At 38.3% G+C, this 26,645-nt stretch overlaps 1 protein-coding gene across 22 annotated transcripts in view, besides 2 other annotated features; it reads right to left on the bottom strand.

The window, feature by feature from the left end:
- The window catches only part of GOLGA4 (golgin A4), a 123,609-nt gene that overhangs the window by 60,377 nt on the left and 36,587 nt on the right, over window positions 1–26,645 (bottom strand). For 13 of the 22 annotated variants that reach the window (XM_047447981.1, XM_047447980.1, XM_024453457.2 and 10 more), the window contains 8 exons: window positions 24,231–24,545; window positions 20,442–20,489; window positions 17,212–17,268; window positions 11,426–11,524; window positions 10,284–10,416; window positions 7,483–7,670; window positions 7,132–7,215; window positions 4,171–4,318 (listed from right to left, as the gene is read on the bottom strand). In XM_047447981.1, the coding sequence (XP_047303937.1) occupies window positions 4,171–4,318; window positions 7,132–7,215; window positions 7,483–7,670; window positions 10,284–10,416; window positions 11,426–11,524; window positions 17,212–17,268; window positions 20,442–20,489; window positions 24,231–24,545 (1,072 nt within the window). The remainder of the gene's footprint in view (window positions 1–4,170; window positions 4,319–7,131; window positions 7,216–7,482; window positions 7,671–10,283; window positions 10,417–11,425; window positions 11,525–17,211; window positions 17,269–20,441; window positions 20,490–24,230; window positions 24,546–26,645) is intronic. The other 9 variants (XM_005265072.4, NM_001429190.1, NM_001429196.1 and 6 more) reach the window with 2 other exon arrangements.
- Window positions 3,962–4,623: an enhancer, noted in NCBI's record as "OCT4-NANOG hESC enhancer chr3:37343371-37344032 (GRCh37/hg19 assembly coordinates)". NCBI's record gives its function as "activates a minimal SCP1, AML or CMV promoter by ChIP-STARR-seq in naive and primed H9 embryonic stem cells {active_cell/tissue: H9 hESC(naive and primed)}" and the evidence as "EXISTENCE:reporter gene assay evidence [ECO:0000049][PMID:30033119]".
- Window positions 7,138–8,337: an enhancer, noted in NCBI's record as "BRD4-independent group 4 enhancer chr3:37339657-37340856 (GRCh37/hg19 assembly coordinates)". NCBI's record gives its function as "activates an origin of replication core promoter dependent on BRD2, P300/CBP, MED14 and CDK7 cofactors, and independent of BRD4, by STARR-seq in HCT116 cells {active_cell/tissue: HCT116}" and the evidence as "EXISTENCE:reporter gene assay evidence [ECO:0000049][PMID:35650434]".

Below are 26,645 nucleotides of genomic sequence, written 5' to 3'. Positions count from 1 at the left end.
AGAGAACAGCCAAGAACTAGTGTGAACTTCGGTAGCATTAACATTCTACACTGGTGCTACACTGAGGATATAATTTCCTGGAGAGTTAAAATACAGCATTATGTACTTAAGCTGAACCACCAAACTTTTCCAAGTTTAAAATCTGGTTAATAGAAGATATGACCATCTGTTCTTAAGTAACAACTAGAAAGAAACACTATCAACAATTACAGAAGCGCTTATAACCAATAAACTTATTTTTTGTTTTCTTTATCCACTAAAATACATATTTTTAACAAAACAAGAATGCTATGCTCTCATACGTCAAAAACTATGCCTAACATTTCTACTAGAGAGGAGACTATTTAAGAACTGCAGGTTGATACACCATCCTGAAATCGGTACACCACTGTATTCACAGTCTCAGTATTTTATAACAGAATTATTCTTTTTATGCCAGCATGCAAAAACAGAAAAATAAAACAAAGAAAATAAACAATCATTCTGTTTAAAATCAAAGACATTCAGATTTCCTCTGTCCTCCAACATATGAAAGGCACCACAATTCATCTAGAAAAAAATATGAGGAGCAGCTTAAGAGACTGTTTCCCAAGAAAAGTAGTGGGGAACGTTCTTGAGCTGATTTTGACATCCAGAATAAGTGAGCCAAAGGAATTAGTGATTTGTCTACTAATATTCACATCAAGAATTACCAGCAATATCAGAATTAAATTTCTTCACAGTTGAAAATGCATTTGGAGAGTTTATTTTCTAGATAAGAGTTTTATGTAGACATATCTACTTCTAAAATCCTAATAGCAAGCTGTAATGATATTAATGTTTCCTTCACATGGCCAGTTCTTATATTTAGCCTTTGAATTTTAAATCTAACAAAGAATAAAACAAATATTTAATAGAGCAATTGAATTTTCCAATAGCCAGACTATTTATAGAAATCCTACTTCCTTTACATTGACCTTTTCTTATGTTTAGTACTTAATTGGAAGTTTTCTTTCAATTGGCATATACCTTTACATTTGAACTAAGAATCACTTCCTACTTGAACAGTTCTGTTTAGACTCAACTAAGACTATTAAATGAAATACAGTTTGTGTGCAAAACTAGCTTTCATTATAGATGTAAAAGGCATTATCTTCAATGTAGAGACAGTTTGTTACAACTTTGCATCATAGCCCTCAATTATTATGACTACAAATATAATTTTTAAGAAATCTATAAAAGCACTTACAACTTTGTTATCTAAAGACTTTCCAAAATAAATGTATCCATTAATAATTTAAATCTGGCAGGGCGCAGTGGCTCACACCTGTCATCCCAGCACTTTGAAAGGCCAAGGAGGGTGGATTACCTGAGGTTGGGAGTTCGAGACCAGCCTGGCCAACACAGTGAAACCCGGTCTCTATTAAAAATACAAAAATTAGCCAAGTGTGGTGGCACACATCTGTAAACCCAGCTACTCAGGAGCCTGAGGCACGAGAATCACTTGGACCCAGGAGGCGGAGGTTGCAGTGAGCCGAGATTGTGCCCAAAAAAAGTAATAATAATTTAAATCTTAATTCTTTTAGTATTTATTTTTTATTTTTGACAGTATTAATAGAAAAAATTTTAAACCTTTACGCTATCAAATATTAAAAAAATATGGTTTATGAAAATCACACTGAAAGACAAAATATACCTGTGTTTTGGAGAAGCAAGCAAGGGAAGGAAAGCTGTTCTACTAAAGGTTTAACTGGAACATATACCAGAAAATTTTATCCGCATGTAAATGAACTATATATTTTGTCTACCTTTTCATCATTTACCCTTTTCAACTTGATATTTATTAATCAGTTTCTATCTCCTCATTAAGTACACTGAATTTTAAAAGAAATGTAATCCCCTGACCAACATTTTCTCTCTACTGGCTACAACAGTCAACAGAAAGCAGTTCTAAAAATGGAAAGGCTTGATATGAGAAGCTGAGGCTATGCATTAGATTTTCTGTTCACTGAAAGCAAACCTGTTGAACCAATGTCTTACAACACTCAAACTGCTTCAAGTCAGTCTTCAAAGATTATATTCTGAAAGATGCCATCTACTCTCTCTAAAGGGAAGTTTTCTTAGGTTTGATGAGAACAAATTCATTAACTAAATTCCCCAGTCACTTTATCCATAAAATAAGTCCAAGAAGATGGGGAGATACTTATGAAATAGTCAACTATTTCTCTGTCTAGAGACCCAGTCCCCTCCTTAACACCTTAAAATCTGGTTTATAAAATCATTTCTCAAAACTGCATCCTCCAAATCAAATCCTTGCCAAATTCAAGGACCTTTTCAAAGTCTTCATCTTACCTTCTCCATTTCTTGAAACATATCTTATATTCCCCCAAAAAACTATCCACAATTCCTATGACTTCATGAGGTAACTTTTTTTTTCTCATTTATGTCTCATTGCCAAACTCAAGACCTCTATATGGTTAAGAGCACAGACTCTGAGTCACAATGCCTGGATTAAATCTTGAGTATATACTTATTCTCTGTGCATAAATGTAGGTAAATTACTTAACTTCTATGTTCTTAGGTTTGCTTATTTGTAAAATGAAGATAATAGTATTATTTCATACACTTGTGAGGATGCAATACAAGTAAATACAAGCAAAGCCCTTAGAGCAGAGCATTACTAAAGTAAGTAATGGCTAGCAGTAGTATTAACAATAGTAGCAGCAGTAGTAGTAGCAGCAACAAGTGCTAAATAAGCGTCAGCAGAAGCAGCTGCTGCTGTTACCACTATGACTATTACTACTACTGTAAAACTTAATCTTTTGTAGAAATCCGCCTCTCCTACAGATTTAACCACAGGCTTCGATCCTAGGCTGATGACTCCTGAAAGATGTTCCAATTTCTTATTTCCAAATTCCTGCAACTCAATTCCATTTGAAAAGCTCATGACTGGGTCAAATTCAGTGTATCTAAAAAACCCATCATTTCACTCCAATTCTCAACTTCCCCATTTAGATTTCCTATTCTAATTCCACACTACTATTCATTAAGTGTCCTAAGCTTAAAACTTTGGAGTCAATTTAGAGTCCTTACTTTTCTTCTGCCTCCCTGAGTTGATCAGATACCAAATTCTACAGATTCTACCTTTCTTCTCCTTCCCAGAACCACCATCCTAGCAAGGCGGCTAAAGCTCACAGTCCCTCAAACTGGATTTCTGTCTTTGCTTCTAAGTTTGACTTCCTATTTCATTTCTTTTCTACATAAAACCCTAGCTCCCATCACATTATGCCTTCCTATTACTGGTTTCCTGTTACTCTGTATATCAAAGTCTAAACTCAGCTACCTACCTTTTAAGATTTCAATAGTCAGTTCCTTTACAATCCAACTGCATTTCCCACTTCAGCAAGAATGGTTTTCAGCTGATTCACACACCCACTATGATCACTGTGCCTGTTTACGGCATTGTAGCATCTGAAATGTGTGCTGCCCACACCTCTCTTGTTAGGCCCATTCTATTGATTATTTGAGGTCCAATTCAAAACTCACATCTTCACTGATGTGAAGGCACAGTTCATCCTGCTCTCTCCTCTTTCAAACATCCCTCCTTTCCTAGCTTTAGTCGATTTTGTACCTTGTTGAATACTATGCTGGTTTCTATACTTTATAGCCCAGCATTTATTGTGTCAAAACATGCTATTAACACTGAAGTGTTCATTATTCTCTTTAAAAGCAGACTATAACTTAGACTTTTTGTTTACCCTAAAGCATCTATAAGGTAGCAATTATTTAATAAGTACCATGCTGTACCTACTGGGAAGTTCTACAATTTTAAATCTGAATTTTGATACTCTGTCAGCACACATTTTCTGTAAGGGGCCAGATGATAAATATTTTAGGTTTTGTAGACCACATATGGTCTCTGTCATATATTTTTCTTTTGTTCAAGTATTTAAAAATGTAAAAATCATCCTTAGCCTAAGGGCTGTACATAAATAGGCTGTGGGCTGGATCTGGCCCACAGGCCACAGTTTGCCAACCTCTGCCTCCTCTAATGAGCAGATGGGTGTCTTATTAGGAGCCTCTATAGTTAAGAATTTTTATCAATATTTAACTCATTTTTAAAAATACTGGTCAAGCACTTTAAATAACTTTTGAGTTCCAACATAAAACAAGTAACCCTCAAGTTCTTACCAGCTCTTTCGGACTTTTCTTTCTGTTCCCGTAATTCCTCTCCCTGGGTAGTCATCTGTTTGATGCGACTACGGAGTTGAGCAATTTCTTCTTCTTTCATTTCCAGGGTTTCATGCATCTGACGTTTTGTCTCTGCGATTACCATTCCCTGAATAGAAGTGAAGACTCTAAAACATTTGCATAACAAAACTGCATCATCAACAGCACAGATAAAACTTAATTTAAAAGGCAGAAAAAGGCCGGGCATGGTGCATGGTGACTCATGTCCATAATCCCAGCACTTTGGGAGGCCAAGGAGGGTGGATCACCTGAGATCAGGAGTTCGAGACCAGCCTGGCCAACATGGCGAAACCCTGTCTCTACTAAAAATACAAAAATTAGCCAGGCATGGTGGTATATGCCTGTAATCCCAGCTACTCAGGAGGCTGAGGCAGGAGAATTGCTTGAACCCAGGGGGCAGAGGTTGAAGTGAGCTGAGATCACGCCATTGCACTCCAGCCTGGGTGACAGAGTGAGACTCCGTCTCAAAAAAAAATTAAAAATTAAAAAACAAAAAATAAAAGGCAGAAAAAATGATATTTCTTGCTAAGTACAGCATAACAATTATTTCAATACTTCACAAACTGAGGTCTGTTTTCTGCTCTAATCCTATTACCTAGCATAACAGTATTTTTTACATTAAAAATTTTAATAGTTTAATCCTTAAAGCATTAAAACATTATTACTTAAAAGATTTATTTTATAGCCTTTCTACAAATGTGCTATCTGTCTTAGTAAACAGTTTATAATGAACAAAATATAGTCTTCTGAACCTGGCTTGGCACTACAATAAACTACAAGTATTGATCTGTACTATAACATGGGGATAACCCCAGACACTTGAGAATGGAAGGTGCCTGCTGCCACACTGGATAAAGCAAAATCCCAGGACACATCTACCTGGTTCTTCTCTTTCTTCCTGTGACTGTCTCTGGTACCACCACTATTCCTTACTTTGTAAGGCATCTCCATTCCTCCAACTTGCTAGTTACTTCTGTTCCCTCTTTCTGGATAATCTACACTAGAAATGGAGGTCGGCAGGGGAAAAAGACAACTAAATGGTATACAGTAAAAAAGTCATTTAGGACTAACAAAAAATGAGGTGGTTCACTTGTCTCTTGAAAAAATGTTCAGACTTTGTGACAACAATTTCATGGTCTTAAGATTAGCACCCTCTCCACAGGGTTTGCCAACCCTTGCTTTAGAATATGACTCTTCCAGATGGCTAATATTAATGGAGAGACAGAGAGATAACAACCACGTAAGTGAGGCACTGCTATATGAAATCTCAAAACAAAATCATGGGCTTTCAGTTTCTTCAAAAACCAAAATATAGTGGAAAGAGAAGGAGAGAAGATAATCAAACCAGTAAATTAAAAGAAATCTTAAGAGTCATATCAACCAATTGCAATGAAAAAACTTTATTTGGACCCTGATTCATAAAAGAGCAAAAAATATATGAGAAACTAGAGAAAATCTGAAACTGACTAGATAGCAGGTCATATTTTAAAATTATTAAATTTTTAGATGTGATCATGATAATGTGGTTATAGTATTGTAAAAATAATGTCTTTTATTTTAAAGATATATTAAAATACTTTTGGAAAAAAATGATAAAATTTCTTGGATTTGCTCTAAAACAATTCTGGGTGAGTAGGACAATGACAGTTGAGAAGGTACAGATGAAACAAGATTAGTCATGAGATGTTAACTGTTGAAGCGGGGTGGTGGGTTCAAAGAAATTCATTTTAGCAGCTTTTCTTTTGTAAATGTTTTAAGTTCTTCATTATAATATTTAAAAAAAAAAACAATTTAAGTAGGCCCTCAAGAAGTGTATAATCTAGCAAAGCAGTATTATCAAAAGGATGAAAAAGATTGCCAATACATTTTAACAGCAGGACAGCTCTGACATGTTCTTAATTACGTGACCACTTAAAATACTCTAGTGATAACCCGGCATATTAAAGAAAATGGTGGATGCTATGGAACAAACTGGGAGCTGCTTAGAAAAAGGACCCAAGAACTTGGAGCTGAAAGACAGGTCAAAACTGTTTACCCATGAATTTTCTGGTTGTCTTTGCTGCGTAGCTTTAGCTGCTGCTCCAACTCCAAACTACCAAAGGTAAGACTCATTCCTTCCTCAATCCTCTAATCTCATCTACACATTCTAAAATTCATTTGTAGACATTTTTATTTATGCTAATATATACATTATCACTTATTTTTGTTTGTTGTTTTTTTAAGAGACAGGGTCTCACCCTGTCACCCAGGCTGCAGTACACTAGTGTGACCATAGCTCACTGTAGCCTCTAACTCCTGGGCTCAAGCAATCCTCCTGCCTCAGCCTCCCGAGTAGCTGGGACCACAGGCATATACCAACATACCCAGCTAATTTTTTTTTTTTTTTGTAGAGAGGAGGTCTTGCTTTACTGCCCAGGTTGATCTTGAACTTCTGGCTTCAAGCAATCCTCCCGCCTCAGCCTCCCAAAGTGCTGAGATTAAAGGCATGAGCCACTGTGCCCAGCCCCTTATTTATTTGTTAGGCAACTTATCTGAGAGATTAATCTGTTTCCATATTATCTGAAAGAACATACTGATATCATTCACATTTATAATGCCTTAACTATAAATAACTTTTCTCTGTAAAGTAGTTATGTACTATAAATATAAACTTCCTTTGCAACAGTTATTCTAGTCTACAAATCATAATGCTGACTGGGATCAAGAAATCAGAGAATCAGTTTTACATGACACAAAACTAATGCTAGTAGTTACAAAAATCTAGAAATTAAAGATTTTTCATGGAAAAAGCTGCAATAATTTTTAGAAAACAGAAACAAGCATGAATGTTTCCAACTGTTTCCAAAAGTAAATGTTGGGGCCTCTTGACAAATTTTAGTATCATAGGTTTTGTTGTTTTACCTTATCTTGTTCAAGCTGTTCAATTAAGTTCTTTGCATCACGCAACTGAGTGATAAGTTTAGTCTTCTCGGCCATATGAAGGTCCTAAAAAAAATTTTTAAATTCATTTCCATCTCTAATAAAGCTTCTTCTCATTTGAGAACTCTAAACATTTATCTAATTTATATACATGTTACAGTGCAGAAGGAAAAAAGTACACAGTAAGTCTCAAGGTTTGGTGTTATGTAGGCCAGGGCAAACAAAAATGCCCTTTCCATCCACTCTCCTCTCCCGGAGGTACAAGCCATGCTGTGGAGCCTGTGGATCTAACTTTATAGATTAAATTAGAACAAAACTCATCTGCTCTTTTACCTTTATCTTTTCTAGTTCTTGAAGTCTTTCATCCAGTTGTTCTTGCAGAGCTTCTTTTTCACTAGTTAATAGTGTACATTGTTCCTTATGTGACTGAATTGTTTCCTTACAACGCTTAAGTAGGTTCTCTTGACGCTTCACTCTTTGCTGGAGTGTTTCCAGTGTTTTTACAGAAGTTCCATCTTCCACTAACAATAAAGCAACATAAGAAGGGCCCATCAGTAAGGAATATGAAACTGCCTTTGGAAAATTATGACTGAGACAGTCAAAGAGATCTAATCTAACCGACTCCATCTTGGTTCTAACCTTTAAGCTGTCATTGTTCGTTCCTGGGTGTAGGCTGAACTAACTTTGGGAGAACTTAGTTTATAGTTTATAGTCTAAAACAAAGACAATAAAAGCCATTTCCCAAACAAACCCCCTTCTTGCCTGGAGACTAGATTGCCTTTGTAGGACTAACAAATTAGCCAAAAGATTAGAAATTATCATTTAGGAGTCATGCAGCTGAAGGCTACAAGATTCTGACCACCACTAAACTGCTCCTAATATCACTGCTTGAGATATTTTGCAGACCCTGCACTTGATGGATCAGCTGGCAACACCCAGATCGATAAATTGGCTCATCTGATCTTGTGGCTCCCACCCAGGAAGTGACTCAGCACAAGAAGACAGCTTTGATTCCCTATGATATCATCTCTGACCTGACCAATCAGCACTCCTGGCTCACTGGCTTCCTCCCACCCACTAAATTGTTCTTAAAAACTCGGATCCGTGAATGCTTGGCGAGACTGATTTGAGTAAAATAAAACTCTGGTCACGTGCACACTCGGCTCTGCGTGAATTACTCTTTCTCTACTGCAATTCCCCTATCTTGATAAATCAGCTCTGTCTAGGCAGTGGGCAAGGTGAACCCTTTGGGCGGTTACAAATATAAGGACACTTCCAGGAACAGTCTGTTACTACACAGGTGTGTATTCCCTCTTTTTTTTTTTGAGACGGAGCCTCGCTTTGCCGCCCAGACTGGAGTGCAGTGGCATGATCTCGGCTCACTGCAACCTCCACCTCCCTGGTTCAAGCAATTCCCCTGCCTCAACCTCCCAAGTAGCTGGGATTACAGGCGCACACCACCACGTCTCGCTAACTTGTTTGTATTTTTAGTAGAGGTGGGGTTTCACCATGTTGGCCAGACTAGTCTCGAACTCCTGACCTCAGGCAATCCGCCTGCTTCAGCCTCCCAAAGTGTTGGGATTACAGGTGAGAGCCACCACGCCCCACCAGGAGTGTATTCTTACACCAATATTCTGCTATACTCTTAGATGAAGAAGGGACAACCCTAGTCAGCTAATAAACTGGCACCCTTCCAAACCTCTACTTAGTATTAGTTGTTTAATCTTTATCTGAAGAAGCTTAGTAGTAATTCACCTCTTTGAGGTTCAACCCCATTCAGAATGGCACAGTAGTTAACTAACATTAACTGAATCCACCCTCCTTAAAATGACAGTTTGATAATCATCTTTTGTTATTCAAAATTATGTGTCTTAGCTCACCTCCCAAAAGGATTAATAAAGTACGGTATTCTTTCCAACCACATTCTAATCTCTTTCTGAGAGGAGTTCTGGTAAGTGCAACTTTCTCCATCTCTTTACATTTATGAGTCTGAAGTTTCCACATGTCTGGGAATTTCGGGACTGGCCCCGCCGCCCCACCACCCCACCATAGTCTGGTTGCTCAGATAGTTAACTGCTCAACTACTTACTCCAAGTTTATCATAAGTCCCTTTGAAAGAAAAAGCTAGGAAATAAAAGACGGGAATTTTATTGCGTATATACCTCAAGCCTCAAAGCAAAGAAGGCTGTAACTGAATTTTAAGACAAAATATAGCTATTTCTTCTTTTTCCAGTTAAAAAGCAATTAATAGGACAAATACAAATATCTATGAATATAGAACTATTTAAGCAATATTTAAAAACTAAAATATCCAAACAATTACAAATAGCCCACTTATTAGCATGTAAGCAGAACTGACCTGTTCATATGAAATCTAGCTACTGCTATTAATAAAACAGTGTAGCATAATAAATGAATTTCAATTACAATGAAAATGTGGTGTTACAGACTATGAAATTTTTGCATATTAAAACAACTTTTTTGGTTGGGCACAGTGACTCACACCTGTAATCCCAATACTTTGGGAGGCTGAGGCAGGTAGATTACTTGAGATTAGGAGTTCGAGACCAGCCTGGCCAACATAGTGAAAGCCCGTCTCTACTGAAAATACAAAAATTAGCCGGGCATGGTGGTGTGTGCCTGTAATCCCAGCTACTCGGGAGGCTGAGGCAGGAGAATCGCTTGAACCCAGGAGATGGAGGTTGCAGTGAGCCGAGATCATGCTACTGCACTCCAGCCTAGGCAATAGAGTGAGACACCATCTCAAACTAACAAGCAAACAAAAAACACTTATTTTCTCCTAAATAACAACAAAGAACCAAAAAAACAAAACAAACCCTTGCATCTTTCTGAAACTATTAGGACCACGGACACTTCTACCTCAGCCCATATCTATCAGCTCACATCCTGGAATCTCTCAAAATCCTCCTCTAGGTTTTCTTGGGGTTTCATTTTTGTTTTTGTTTTTCTTGTGGAGAAGGGTTTTCTCTATGTTGCCCAGGCTGGTCTCAAACTCCTGAACTCAAGCGATCCTCCCACACTGGCCTCCCAAAGTGTTGGGATTAAAGGTGTAAGCCAAGGAGCCTGGCTCTCCTCTAGTTTTTAAATTAACCTTTTGACAAAATGAAGCTTACCTACTGGCTCTCCATCACTTTCTGGATTCTCTTCTTTAGTGAAGACTTCAGCCTGTGGTTCCAGCTGAGGAAGTGGTTTCAGTACATCAACATTCATCGGGCCATTTCGTAATCGTTGTTTCAGTAGAGAAACCTAATATAAATGTGCTTCATTAGAAAAAAGTCAAAAAAAACTATGGGAGTAGTACAATTGTCCCTTGGTATCTGTGGGGGATTGGTTCCAGGATTCCCTGTTAATACCAAAATCCGCAGGAGCTCAAGTCCATTATATAAAATGGTGTAGTATTTGCATATAGCCTACACACATCCTCCAGTATAATTTAAATCATCCCTAGATTACATAAACTACCTAAATAATGAAAATGCTATGCAAGTAGTTGTTGTACTACATATATTTTAGAAAATAATGAGAAGAAAAAAAGTCTACATGTTCACTACACATGGTTTTCACCCCCTAAATATTTCTGATCCAGTTGGTTGAATCCACACATACAAAAACACATCAATGTGGATGGCTTATTGTACTTTATTTAAAACAGAGAGAGGACGGATTAAATGATATTCTTCTTACTAAAGTGGGGGAAAATAATCAAAATAAAAAGTTTACTCCCAATACAGCTGGTTTTTATATTTGCTATTATTATTATGCAGTTAGTCAAAAGATACAATAAATAAAAAAGTATCCTTAACATTAACTGAAGAGCTAGGAGTGGTGGCTCATGCCTATAATCCCAACACTTTGGGAGGCCAAGGCGGAAGGATCGCTTGAGCCCAGGGGTTTGAGACCAGCCTGGGCGACATAGTGAGACCCCATCTCTACAAAAAATTTAAAAATTAGCTGGGCGTGGTGGCATATGCCTGTATTCCCAGCCACTCTGGAGGCAGAGGCTGGAGGATTGCTAGAGCCCAGGAATTTGAGATTGCAGTTAAGCTATGATCACGCCACTGCACTATAGCCAGGGTGAAAGAGCAAGACTCTGTCTCAAAAAAAATTAAAAATAAAAAAAATTGAGGAAAGCAAAAAGTTTTAAAAATAGGTCTTAAAAAAGAAAAAACTTTTGCAACCTTGCAGATATCCAAATCAAACCCCCTCTATTTTTCTTTATCCAAAAAATTCCACACTTTTTCTTTTACTCTTTTACCTGAGTTTGGAGAACACTGATATACTGATCTTTCTCCTCTAAAGATGCATCAAACTCCTCTTGCAGATGTTTCTTTGCCTGCTGGTCCATTTGGAGCTCCTAAAACATAAAATGATTTACAGGTAATTTTCAGTATAAAACAAAAAATACAAAGTTTTCAAAATTTAAAAACATGTTGAATACAGATTTGCATTCCCCTTAAGGTATCAGCAACAATAATTAGAGAATAATTAGTATGTAAAACATTAACATTATTTAAAACATTTGCATCAACAAATGATTTTGTTCCTTAAAGAATATGAAGATCCAAGAAGAAAAAAGTGTACTTTCCAGAGCTGTAATGATGGCTGCACTGATAATAATGTGGAGAAAATAAATAATCACTTAAGACAGGCCGGGTGCGGTGGCTCACACCTGTAATCCCACACTGTGGGAGGCCGAGGAGGGTGGATCACTTGAGGTCAGGAGTTCGAGACCAGCCTGGCCAACAAATGGTGAAACCCCGTCTCTACTAAATATACAAAAATGAGCCAGGCGTGGTGGCAGGCATCTGTGGTCCCAGCTACTTGGGAAGCTGAGGCAGGGGAATCACTTGAACCCGGGAGGAAGAGGTTGCAGTGAGTTGAGGCTTGCCACTGCACTCCAGCCTGGGTAATAGAGTGAGGCTTGGTCTCCCAAAAAAAAAAAAAAAAAAATTACTTAAGATAAAAGAAAAACTTTGAGACTCTTACTACTTGTGTTATATTATATTCATCTGATCTAACACCAAATTATTATATACCAAACAGATAGCCAGTAGTCTTCCTCCTCCCAACATATGAAAGTGTCTGATAGTCGAAACCAAACGCTTTCTCATCTGTAAAATGAAATTTCTAGTTCCTGCAATTAGTTAAAATGCTGCTTTCTTTAGGTCATTAATGAGCCTTCCTAACCAAATCCATTGATTTTTGTCTCTCTGCAAAACCAGCCACCAGTAATTACCCGTTCATTTTAGGTATAGTCACATATCACATAACAATGTTCTGGAAGATGACGGACCACACATATGACGGTGGTTTCATAAGATTATAATAACGTATTTTTACAGGGCTTTTTCTATGTTTAGATAGACTTGGATATGCAAATACTTACCATTGTGTTACAACTGTCTACAGAGTTCAGTACAGTAACATGCTGTACAGGCTTGTAGTGTAGGAACAATAAACAATACAATATTGCCTAGGTATATAGCAGGTTATAGCATCTAGGTTTCTGAAAGAACACTCTGGTATTTGCACAATGACAAAATGACCTATGGAAGCTTTTCTCAGCTATACCTGCTGACCATGGCTTTAGGGCTCCTGGCTACACTCCTGTCAATTACAGTTTCCTCTTTGTCCTTCACTGATTCCTTCTAGCCCTCTTGGGTTCAATCTTGTGTCTTCTGTGTTTCTCCCTTAGAATGCCGGAGGTTAGCACATGGAAGTATTAGACAGCTCTTTATCGTTCTGGGATTCCTATACTTCACTAGTTCCCTAAACTCAAAATATTCAAAGTCACATTTTACTTATCTTTGTTAATCCCTGCATATAATCAATATTTTTTATTACTTTTTCTAGAATGTTTAGATCCTATCTTTTACCACAACTATAACCACAGCCCAGGTCTCTCAAACTTTAGATCAGGGATGTCCAATCTTTTAGCTTCCCTAGTCCACACTGGAAGAAAAAGAATTGTCTTGGGCCACATATAAAATACATTAACAATAGCTGATGAGCATTTAAAAAAAAAAATCACAAGAAAAATCTCACAATGTTTTAAGGAAGTTTAAAAATTTGTGCTGGGCCACATTCAAAGCCGTCCTGGGCTGCATGCAGGCCACGGGCTGCAGGTTAGACAAGCTTGTGACAGTTAATTTCCTTCAATAGCCTTCTAGACAGATTTCTTACCTCAAGTCCTCCTCTAATTTTATCCATCCCTCACACATTTGCTAGAATAATTTTCCTCAAACAATATTTTCAAAGAATTATAAGCAACTCCCTCTTCTTACATTGTTTCAAACTTATTAATTCTCAAAACACTAAGAATTGCCCGAGCAAAACACTGAGGCACTATCTGGTACACTCATAAGTGTCCTCTATTCTGCCCAACACCCACATTGCCCCAACATCTCTGAGCATATTTTTTACTTTTCCTCTCACAAATGTCTCCTGACTTTACATTCCCACAGCAGTGGTCTCCAAATGCTGGTCATGCCCTAAATAATGTTTTCAGAGATCCATCGTGAAATAAGAAACAAAAGCCAATGTGGAGAGATTTTCTTAGATCTAAATTCCTTTCATATAAGTAGCTGTTACTTTATCCTGGGAATATGTCCTTCCTAATTGTTTTGGTACTAAAACCTTTTTTTTTTTTGAGACGGAGTCTCGCTGTCACCAGGCTGAAGTGCAGTGGTGCGATCTAGGCTCACTGCCAAACTCCACCTCCCGGGTTCAAGTGATTCTCCTGCCTCAGCCTACCGAGTAGCTGGGACTACAGGTGCGTGCCACCACACCCAGCTAATTTTTGTATTTTTACTAGAGACGGGGTTTCACCATGTTGGCCAGGATGGTCTCGATCTCTTGACCTCGTGATCTGCCTGCCTCAGCCTCCCAAAGTGCTGGGATTACAGGCGTAGGCATGAGCCACTGTGCCCGGCCACAACTACTTTAATGAAATAATGGCAATAAAAGAATCTGGGTACTTATTCCTGATGTCTTTATTCCGAAATACAACAGTTAGTGGCCCTATGACAACTCCCTTCTCCCCCACTTCTGGAAGGAACTGGAAGGTAAACTTCATTTCTTCCAAATAATTTCCTACAACCTACAACCTTCCATGCTGGACTCTGTTACATAGCAGTCCTAACAGCCCACCAAAACAAAAAAAACAAACCAAAAAACACTCCTCGATTTATACTATAGTTTTCAGATTTTGCAAGTTTTCATTTCCTCATCTAGACAAAAAGTCCTTGGTTACAAGGGAGCATCTTTTAATCATGTACCCTTCTCCCTCTCCCGGCTACCTATACACTATTCTGCCAGCATGTTAGCCCAGTGAGGCTTGTGTCAAACTTCTAAGATAATTATTCGTGTTGTGTTAAGCCATTAAGTTGGTGGTAATTTGTTGCAGCAGCAAGAGAAAACTAATACATGTAGGTGGATTAAAAAAAAAAACCAACAAATTCATCAATCTGTGACTCTGATAAGTATTAATATTTCCTAATAGAGGAAGATAAAGTTAATGCATAAAATTATGGATTTAGGCAGGAAAGTTAAATTAGGCCCTTTAGTTCCATATTCCCTTACCTCTGGTCTTTGCCCCCAACATTTCACCAGCTCCTAAAAAATTTAGGTAGAGTTGCAAATCTAATTGGCAGCATCCAGAGTTTTCACAGAGCTCCACCCTCTTTGAAAGGTCAACACAAATGCATTTTACCACAGACAAGCATGACAAGGCATGCTTTTCAGCCAGTGAGCTCTCTCACAGTTTTCTAAGTCCCTCAACAGCTGCAACTGAGTAGATGAGTAAGGCTGGGGCCTGCTAGCTAAGTCAATTCTTTTTCTTTCCCCATTTGATATTGCCAGGGAATGCTGGTTCTATAATTTAAATTAGAGAATAGATAGATAGGAGGCCTATCTTTACTAACAGCCGGCAATCACATGGGTGCTTACTCATCTATGAGTAAAGTAGATGTGTTTCCCATTCAGCTGTATTTTCTTGAGTATAACTCCCTCAGACAAGGGCTCTTAGTGGAGAAGGGCTGAGCATAGGAAGGAAAAAAAAACAGGTATTCCTGTGTTTCCAGATATAATAACATTATAAAGAGGTATTCCTGTGTCTTTATTCAATGCATATTTAAATAATGCGAATGTTTTAAAGAGGATTCATCAGGTTTTAGGCATTAAAACCTGATGCCTAACCTCTAATGTGCACTCTCTGAATTTTAAACATGCCTGCTCTCCATTACTATGTATATCTAATCATTAACTGTATAAAACATGGGCATTTAATTTCTCACCAGAAATACAAGATACCTATCAACACCCTTCATTTATTCCCAAAACACAAGACAAGTAAAAAAGAAATGTTAAGCAAAAAGATATTAGCTTAACAGAAAAATCTTTTGGGTAGAAATGCCGTATTATTTGCCCCTCTAGCAAAAGCAAAGGTGCTTTTAGCTGCTAAAAGCACTTTCTTTCTATTAATATAAGGCAGGAGAAACAAAAGAGGATACCCTAGCTATCATTCTCTCACTTCCTACAACCCCTTTGTTGCATACGCCTAATCCCCATGCATACTTTTCTGAGTACTAACACATTCCCAGTCCAACTAGGAAAGCAGAATCTTGGGCAGACCAGGAGTTAAGGTTTTGTTCCTTCTCTATAACTTCCAAAGTGGGTATACATTTTTCTACGTTATTAATCCAAAAGAAGTTGTACAAATTTTCATTAATAAAGGACATCTGTAATTATTTGTATTATTGAGGCCAATGCTTGGTCTTGTCAGTATAACAAAAGTAAATTAGCCTGGTTTTCAAAGTCATGTTTAGAAATGTTTTAAAGAATTTATTTGGGAATTGTGGTAAATGATATAATCTTTCTTTCATACCACAAAAATTCAGTAATTTGGCTATATAAAAAAATTGCGAGAGACTAGAAATCAAACATGATAGCAATAAGAATAAAACTTTAGTAATATAATACAGGAAATTCCTATATGATTAATTCTGATTGTTAATTCACGCAATAGTCTGTCATTGACAATAACAACAAAGAATATTCTATGGGACAATACGGCTATATTGATGATATCATCCTAATCTATACTCCCTTGTTTTTCTTCTTTGCCTCCTCCCACAATTATACTAGTTTTTCTCAATTACTATTTATAGATTTATTAATTTACCTGACCCTTTTAAGGCTATCTATACTTTTTAAATCTGTATCTTGGACTGATAAATTACACAGTTAGAATACCTAAAACATTAAACTTACTTTGATTTGTCCTAAAGCTACCTATTTCAAACTTCTCAAAATAACACTAGTTTTGTTAATAAATTAACAGAAAGTAACAAAAACCCATGAAGAACACTCATAACAAAAATAGGTAACAAGATATTCTTCAACAAACAATACAAATGAGTGGAGAGAAAACACCAATAGCAGTAAAATATGCAATTGTTGGGATCTGTATAGGAGAAAGCAGAGGGAAGCGACAAGGTATCAGATGGACCTGACAGCAGGAGAACCCCAAAAGTCAACAGGTACTCATTACAAAATAATTTGAGACAGCAGGTCAAACCAGGAGTGGTCTTGCCTACTCCGATGGCAAGTGGGTACACATGGCCCTCAGGAAGACATAAAGGAATTCAAACAGTCTAAGTGCTATGAAAAATTACCCACCCCCCTCAAAATTACAGTAAACATAATTTATTTTATAAAAAAGACTTAGGGTTAGGAAAAACAAAAAGAAGCCTGAAATACATAACAGAAGAACCCAGTTAACCCTTGGAAGTTGACGCTGACTGTTCATGCAGACAATTGATATTCTGTTGCTAACACCTCATTTCATTAATTCCAACAATGTATCTTAGAAAAACCATACAAATAAAAACTTCAAGAACTGACCCCTGGTCTTGTAGGCTGGACTGGTTAGTTATTAGTATAACTAATGAGATGCATATGAAACTACCCTAGCACATACAACAGTTCTGATAAATATGAGATTTAATTACTATTTTCAAAGTACTCATCACTGAAACTTACCTCTCTTAATTCTGCTATTCTCCGAAGTGATTTATCCTGACTCTGACTTAATATACCCTTTAATTGAGAGAGAAAAAAAAGCTGGTTAAACAGCTAACTGTATGACATAGTAAATACAAAGCAAGTCAAAAATAATTATTTTTAAAATATTACAACCGTTTATCCAAAAATAACCTGAAGATAGAGGACAAGCCTAAAATGTTAAAGATGTGACCATATTGAAAAATCTGTTAAGTTAGATCATGATGTTATAGAACTGTTCTGCATCCTGGCAGTGGCAGTGGTTCAAAATCTATACATTTGTTAAAATGCATGGACATGTAAACCAAACAAAAAGTCAATTTTACTGTCTGTTCAATTTAAAAAATAAAATGTTTTAAAATTAAATCAAATTCCAACTGCAGTTTATTTCATTGAAACTTATAATGTGTGGAACACATCAATTAACAGCCTGTTCTAAAGGTTTTTGTGGCTTAGAAACAAAATAATTGTCTATATTTAAAAAAACAAAACCAGCCGGGCGCAGTGGCTCACACCTGTAATCCCAGCACTTTGGGAGGCCGAGGCAGGTGGATCACGAGGTCAGGAGATCGAGACCATCCTGGCTAATATGGTGAAACCCCTTCTCTACTAAAAATACAAAAAAAATCAGCCAGGCGTGGTGGCAGGCGCCTGTAGTCCCAGCTACTCAGGAGGCTGAGGCAGGAGAATGGCGTGAACCCAGGAGGCAGAGCTTGCAGTGAGCCGAGATCGCACCACTGCACTCCAGCCTGGGCGAAAGAGCAAGACTCCATCTCAAAAAAAAAAAAACCATCCAGAAAAATTCACAAAGAACATCAGATGGCTAAATTAGTAACCATACACTAAAAAAAATCAAGAAGCTGGCCGGGCATGGTGGCTCACGCCTGTAATCCCAGCACTTTGGGAGGCCGAGGCAGGCGGATCACCAGGTCAGGAGTTTGAGACCAGCCTGTTCAACATAGTGAAACCCCATCTCTACTTAAAAAAAAAAAAATTCAAAAATTAGCCGGGCATGGTGATGCGTGCCTGTAGTCCCAGCTACTCAGGAGGCTGAGGCAGGAGAATCGCTTGAACCCGGGAGGTGGAGGTTGCAGTGAGCCAAGATCGCACCACTGCAGTCTAGCTTAGGCAACAAAGCAAGACTTCTCAAAAAAAAAAAAAAAAAAATCAAGAAGCTAATAAAAGAGTAATATTGTGAGATGAAATGACTCACCCTTTCCTGGGGTGGGGTAAGGAAGGTACTTTTCTCTAGTAAAGGAAATTAAACTTGGTAAGTTATGACCTATGGAAACAAAGTAACCACATATTCCTGTACAACATAAATACAGAGGTAAAGGAATAGGGTAATCTGGAGCTTCACTGGTTTGTGTGGACTAACAAGCAAAACAAGGGGATACAGACAGGCAAATGGCTTACCTATGACCAAGGGAGTATGACTGGATTGTATTGTGGGGACTTGTAAGTGAATAAAACAAAAACCAAAGTTCTTTTCCCCAAAAAAGCCATGAACACAGGTTTTGTTTGTTCAGTTTCAAATATAAAATTTTAAATGCAGGAACATGCCATGCTGAGAATGATGAAAAACTGTAGTGCAGTAGTTATAAGCACATGCTCTGCAGTCTAACTGCTAGGAAAAAGACCCTGGCTCTCCTCCTTACCTCTTACAAGCTGTGCAACAATGAACGAGTCACTCTCCCTCAGTTTCTTCACAGGAAAGAGGCTAGAACTAAATATACCAAAATGCCTGGCACACAGTAGGAGCTCAATAAATGTTAGCTAGTATAAGCAGCATAGGTAAGAGTGTTGGCAATACCTACTATTTTAATTTCATTGGCTCTATTGAAAAGATATTTGCCTATTTTAAAAGGTTTCTAGGCAGGTACACATGTAGAAAAGAGAGCAAAGCATTGAATTTTATCTTTTCTTTTTTGAGACGGAGTCTTGCTCTGTCACCCAGGCTGGAGTGCAATGGCACGATCTTGGCTTAATGCAACCTCTGCCTCCCAGGTTCAAGCAATTCTCCTGCCTCAGCCTCCCGAGTAGCTGGGATTACAGGTGCCCGTCACCACACCCGGCTGATTTTTGTATTTTTAGTAGAGACAGGGTTTCATCATGTTGGCCAGGCTCATCTCGAACTCCTGACCTCAGGTGATCCACCCGCCTTGGCCTCCCAAAGTGCTGGGATTACAGGCGTGAGCCACCACGCCTGGCCAACTATATTTTATTTTAAAACACAGCAAACTGATGGCACCATTTGAAAGGGAATGGATATTTCTCCTTAGCTCTGAATTATCACCTGGAATACCTAGTGGGAAATTTCCATAGCCAATGCATAGAAACACAAGCAAACAGGATGACATAGTGGGGCCAAGGTGGGTCACCCTGAATATAATAGTTTCTTATCCCTACATACTTAATCAAAAGCTTCACAAGCAGCAGCCACAGGAAATAGTTATTATAGAAGAGAGGATGCTTGCATTTGGACCCTGATATAATGATAAGAAACAGATGTCTGCAGGTATTTAAAAAGCAGAAGGAAAGCATAGAAGGTTAGATATGTCTTTACCACTAAAACAAGGAAGCAACCTGTAGACTGAGACACTAGAAAACATGCTTGAGAGAGGCATGCTGTAAATCCTAACTTCTTAAACACTACCGAGATCTGTAACTCAAGGAAGCTCATCCTTAACAGAGGTAAAATCTCTGGGATCTCATTCACTTTCTCTTTATCAAAACCTCCAATAATGGTAAAACAAGCTTAATATTTTGTTCATATGCAGAATTATTTAAAAGGAAGGCTTAGAAATATCTTACTATAGGCCGGGCGCGGTGGCTCACGCCTGTAATCCCAGCACTTTGGGAGGCCGAGGCGGGTGGATCATGAGGTCAGGAGATCGAGACCATCCTGGCTAACAAGGTGAAACCCCGTCTCTACTAAAAATACAAAAAATTAGCCGGGCGCGGTGGCGGGCGCCTGTAGTCCCAGCTACTCGGGAGGCTGAGGCAGGAGAATGGCGTGAACCCGGGAGGCGGAGCTTGCAGTGAGCCGAGATTGCGCCACTGCAGTCCGCAGTCCAGCCTGGGCGACAGAGCGAGACTCCGTCTCAAAAAAAAAAAAAAAAAAAAAAAAAAGAAAGAAATATCTTACTATATAAGATCTTTCTGATTTAAAAATTATGACTCAGTAATGCAGTTGACAAATCACTTACTTGTAGCTTTTTCTTCTCTCTCTGAAGCATCTGATAAGCTGTAACAAGCTAAAATATAGTCATCAACAACATTAGTCATTCCTAAATAAATGCAATTATTCTAAAGTCCACTAAAAAATTCTCTTTATGAAAGTCAAAAAATAAATTAGAAGAGTCCTTAATAGGATAACCTAATTAGATGCATGACGGTCAAAACTAACATAGGACATACATTTCTAAAAAATAAAATGTAAATTTGACAGACGTTAAATCTCCATATGACTTCATCTTAGAGATACACCTCTAAATTTCAGTACCTAATTCACAGGTGGGGATTCAAGCCAACTTGCCTAAAGGCAGGAGGCTACTCAAACTATAGTTACAGACTAAATCAGCAACAGCATCACTTGCAAGTTTGCTTGAAACAGAAATTCTTGGGCCCCACCCCAATCTAACTGAATTTGAGACTTGGGAAGGGTGTGGAGAGACAGGAAACTATGTTTTAATGAGCTCACCAGGCAATTTTTCTGCTTTGGACTATAAGAGATCATGTAATTGATTTCTAAAAGTTCCTTCTGGTTATAGGGTCTGTGACTACAGCTCTGCAAAAATCTGAGCAAAGAACCTCATAATCAACAGATGAAAACTGGTAATTCAAGTCCTTAAAGAGATATTTAACCATTTAACCTAAACAGGATATTTAAACATTCTAGCACACCCTAATGAAATTATGGATTAACAAATCTTTTCAGCCTGGAAGTTACATAACATTACTCATCTAGGACCAGGTGCAGTGGCTCATGCCTGTAATCCCAACATTTTGAGAGGCCGAGGTAGAAGGATCACTTGAGCCCAAGAGTTCGAGACCAGCCTGGGCAATTTAGTGAGACCTTGTCTCTATTATAATTTAAAAAAAAAAAAAAAAAAAAGTTACTCATCTGAAGGCTAAGTACATGGCTCCAGTGAATTCTTTGGACCCTACTTTGGAAGTGCTAAAGAGATAAGCTGCAGGTTTAAGAGGAAGCATCCCCTATTTGAGCTTTGCCATTTACCTTAGAAGGCTGCTGTGTCCCAAATGCCACTAGTGATATCCTGAATCAAAAGACAGGCAGCAATACAGCCAGGCATGGTGGCTCACACCTGTAATCCCAGCACTTTGGGAGGCCAGGACAGGAGGATTGCTTGAGCCCAGGAGCTGGAGACCAGCCTGGGCAAAATGGCAACGCCATGTCTACCAAAAATACAAAAAATTAGCCAGGTGTGGTGGTGTGTGCCTGTGGTCCCAGCTACTCAGGAGATTGAGGTGGGAGAATCACCTAAGCCTGGGAACTCAAGGCTACAAGGTGAGCCGTGATGATGCCACTGCACTCCAGCCTGGGTGAGGGAGTAAGACCTTATCTCAAAAAAAAAAAAAAAAAGCAGCAATGGAAGGTGAGTCTAGCAACAAAGAATATAAAAAACGAAATTCTGCCTAAGACCAGGAATCTCCCCTTATTATTATCATAACACCAGATAGAAAAATGGTGTTCACAGCCGGGTGTGGTGGCTCACGCCTGTAATCTCAGCACTCTGGGAGGCCAAGGTGGGCAGATGACAAGGTCAAGAGTTCAAGACCAGCCTGGCCAACATGGTGAAACCCTGTCTCTACTAAAAACGCAAACATTAGCTGAGCATGGTGGCGCATGCCTGTAGAGTGAGGCAGGAGAACTGCTTGGCCCAGGACCCAGTAGGCGGAGGTTGCAGTGAGCCGAGATCACGCCACTGAACTCCACCCTGGGCTACAGAGTGAGACTCCGTCTCACAAAAAAAAGAAAAATGGTGTTCACATTTACCAGTGTAACAACCCTGCACATCCTGAACATGTATCCCTGAACTAAAAATAAAAGAAAAATTGTGCTCAAAAAAGGGGTGGAGGGGGGTTGTGTGTGGAAGAGTAACCCAAGAATCAGAGGTCATTTACAACATTATTTCATCCTAGGTACTAACAATGCCAGAGAGAGGTAGAGACAAAGTCTATGAGTTCTTTTGATCCCGATAAGCTGCCTGACTCTGAGACAGAATACTAGAAACAACCAGAAAGACCTAAAATCAAATCCAGACACTGCAACTACAACCTGTCCAACCATAAGCAAGTTAGTTACCAGGCAACATAAGCAAGTTACTATGAGTCTCCAATCCTTCTTCTACAAAACTGAGCTAATTAACATCTACGGGAATGGTACAATATTACATGACATTATAAATATAAAATACACAGGACAGGTGTAGTGGCTCATGCCTATAAGAACAGCCCTTTGGGAGGCTGAGGTGGGAGGATCACTTGACTTCAGGAGTTCAAGACCAGGCTGGGCAACATAGCAAAACCTCAACTCTACGAAAAAATACAAAAATCAGATGGGTGTGGTGGTGTGCGCCTGTAGTCCCAGCTACTTGAGGGAGCTGGGGCTGAGGCTGAAGGATCGCTTGGGCCCAGGAAGTTGAAGCTCCAATGAGCCATGTTTGAGCCACTGCACTCCAGTCTGGGCAACAAAGTGAGACCCTGTCTCAAAAACAACAACAAAAATTAAATATAAAATACACAGTATCTAGCATACGTAAATACTACTTATACCACTACCCCAGCTTCAAACTTAAAAGCCATGGTTAAGTTAGTGAAGTAACAGACAAAGATTCATAACGATTATTAACTTTGGTAGAAATTTAAAAATAAAAGTTAAAAAAATTTAAAGGAAAAAGGTGCTTGATTCTACAAGTGCCTCATGACATACATGGCTTTAGTGCCTTGTTTATATCTCTGGGTGGGTTCCAGCCAGCCTATATATTTAAGCCTGATAATTGCTTCCTATTTTGTCAGCACTTCACAGTTTAAAAAGATATCTTATCTTGTATATTTCATTTGGGTTGTTTTGTTTTGTTTTTGGTTGTAGGATAAAATTACTCATATTGTAGTCATAATTGGAAACAGAAGTTACAACTATCTTTAATATACTGACTCTGAACTTTAGTATTCATTAATTAAAATTAACTACAATGGTGATTTGCAAACCATAAGACAATAAAACATTACACATTTTAAGATAAACAAACAAAAAAATATGGACAACTTACTCCAAAAAAGCTTTCCTGAGAAAGAACTGTTTTAACTGCATAGGATGCAGAGGGAATTGAGGGAGGGCAACAAATAAAATTTAGCCTGAAAGGAAGGTGCTACATTCCTAAAGGATTGAAAAGTGAAATGGACTAGCATTGACTTCCTTCCTCCCTTAGACCAAACAGGGAGTGTCATTCTCAAGGGTTTAGCAATGAAAAGATTCATCCAAGGCAAAGGTTTAAATGTAGGTACAATGAGAATGAACCAAATCTGTCAAATAATCAGGCTACCTAAAACAATTTTAGAATCAGTAATAATGGGACTCTCACTGGCAGATGAGGTCATTTTGGAGCCGCATCAGTTAGAGAGGAATAAAGGAGAGGATATGAGCCAGAAGATGAACTCCACACTGGGTGTCCAAGTGACCTTGAACAGAGGGACTACGAAAGGAGAGGGGAACAGAATATAAGAACCAGAAGGCTACAGACAACAATCTTCTCCAAAATTTTACTGAGTCTTGCCAAAGGGCCTCTGTCTTTACTTAACTAGATATTGAGAGTCTTTAACTAGATAATGCCACAGACTACATACCATTAGTAACCAGGATATATCCAGAGAATTAACAGTTTAGCCAATCACAGGAGTAAAGCAATACAGTAATATGAATGAGAGAACAAGGGGAAGAAATTTTTGTACAGGCAAAAAGGTCATGCTCCTACCTCAGAATATTTTCCCCTGTAGCTACTTAAGCTTCGTTCCATTCTTCGCAACCGCTGAATCAACTGTTCTTTGTTGAGACTGTCTGAATTCCCTACCAAGTCTTCAGCCTCGCTATCCATATCAGAGGGTGGATCAAAACTGGCAGTAGAACTGTCCAGGTCAAGTCGATTCAGGGATTCTCTGGAAGATGTTCGTACCAAAGACTCTTTAGAAGAAGACCGGAATAGAGATTCCTTTATCGGACTTCGAAACAAAGACTCCACGGAGGGCACCCGGAGCTGGAGCTTCTGTGCAAAAGACTGTGTGTCACCTGACTGCAACCAAAACCCAACAGAATGTGTGGATTAAAATACATACATTTAGACTTCCATTACCCCATCACCAGCAATAATCTAATAAAAGTTCTAACAAGTTGAATTTATATTCCTGACATTTTACATAATACATTGTTTTCTGAAAAACAAAACACTTGGTTATTGCTGAAACAGTGTTGGACCTGGAGTCAGAGGACTGGGGTGCAGGTCCCAGGTCTGTCACCTAGAGGTAGAATGCCCTTCAGTAAGTCACTTTCCTTCAGTTTGCACATCTGGAAGAAAGAAAAACACAGTACTTTCCCAGCCGACCTCACAGGTGTATTGTGAGGATTCATCCACTAAACTGTGAGATCCTTGAAGGTAGTGACCATCTCCATACACCATCTGTAACAGTGCATACCCAGTGTCTAAAATGTAGGTATATACCATGAAATGTGAAGTGTGTAACTGAACTCAAGTGGGCTTTATCTGGAGGGTCTTTATGGACATGGTAATTCTTGATCATTCCCAAGAAAAGAGGGGAATTGGGATGGGGGGAGGGTAATGTGTAATGAACCCACTTTGTTTAATAAGGGAATGTGAGGCAGAGTTGACTAGTAACAGCCAACTCTGCTCTACTTACCATTTGTCTACTAGGAATAAAAATAAGCATTAACAAATCATGGAGGACAGTTGAAAGGTCTGAGTTAGAGTCCCTCTGCACAAATCAGTAACTCCAATGTTAGACAGTGATAAGGAAGACCTGTTCTCCTAATTAATTGGAATAACAAATTAATTTAGTCACAATGAAAAATAATATGACCTAATTCAACTAACTGTTCTAAGCAGTATTATTTTGTTCAGGTCACAGCAGTCAATATTTACTGATGTCTCCTAGAAGCTCATTCTCATTAGTTAACAACCGGGTCACTAAGATCTCAAAGGTGCCAGGAGTGAAATACTCCAGGGAAACTGAGGTCATGTGTAGGCAAAAAATACAGGAAAATAAAAAGATTCTCTTCAGTCTAGAGTTTGAAAAATCAAAACAGAAATGTTTTGCTCACGGATTCTAGAGATTTAATAATATTGGGCAAGGTAGGAGTAAGAGGAGATAATATGTCCCATACCTTCATACACACAAATTTATCACAGGTGGTTTAAAAGAGTAAAAACTGGAAACAACCCAAATGTTTATCACTAGAGGATACAGTTTATAAATTATAGTATATGGAGAGCACTCCCCAAGGCAACTTGAAAAGTATGTCCTGGTCTATAAAGTATTTTCAAAAAAAATTTAAAAATAAACAATAACATATGGAAAGAAGTTCAAGATATACTATTAAATGGGAAAGGTCAAATTATAAAACAATATGTATATTGTGAACTCATTTTGACTAAGTACTCCTTATTCAAAAAGCTTGGAACCAGGTATTTTGGATTTCAGATTTTTTTCAGATTTTGGAGTATCTGCATATAGATAGTGAGACATCATGGGGATGAGACCCAAGTCTAAACACGAAATTCATTTATGTTTCATATACACCTTATACAGATAGCCTGAAGGTAATTTTATATCATATTTTTCACCATTTCTGTACATGAAACAAAGTGTGTACACTGAACCGTCAGAAAGCAAAGGTGTCACAATTTCAGCCACCAATACAATCTATGGTTGTCTGGCACCACCATCATTCCTGACTCTGAACTTACATGCTACTGATAAGCAATAATTTTCTTATGCTTATTCACCCATAAGTACTTCACAGTGAAAGAAATATATATATATGACATACCATTAATACAGTAAAACAAAATGTGTTCAGGGTAACTAAGCAGCACAGTAGTATCACCAGAATATCTGTAATAGCTGTTAAGCAACAGCAACAACAAACAATGGTAAGCTTTCAGTCTCTATCTACGATGCTGTGTTTTGATTGAACGGTTACTCTACACTGTATTTTCTTTTTTTAGGTAAGAAGAAACACCGGAAGCAATTGAGGGACCAGGAAATGGATCCACTAGGAAGGAGGAGGCATTCTGCAGGATGGCTTTTTAATTTTTTTTTTTTTTTGAGACAATAGTCTTTCTCTGTTGCCCAGGCTGCAGTGCAGTGGCGTGATC

The sequence above is a fragment of the Homo sapiens genome, chromosome 3 (assembly GCF_000001405.40).
Source record: "Homo sapiens chromosome 3, GRCh38.p14 Primary Assembly".
Lineage (NCBI taxonomy): Eukaryota > Metazoa > Chordata > Mammalia > Primates > Hominidae > Homo > Homo sapiens.
This window is presented reverse-complemented; position numbering and strand designations above follow the sequence as displayed.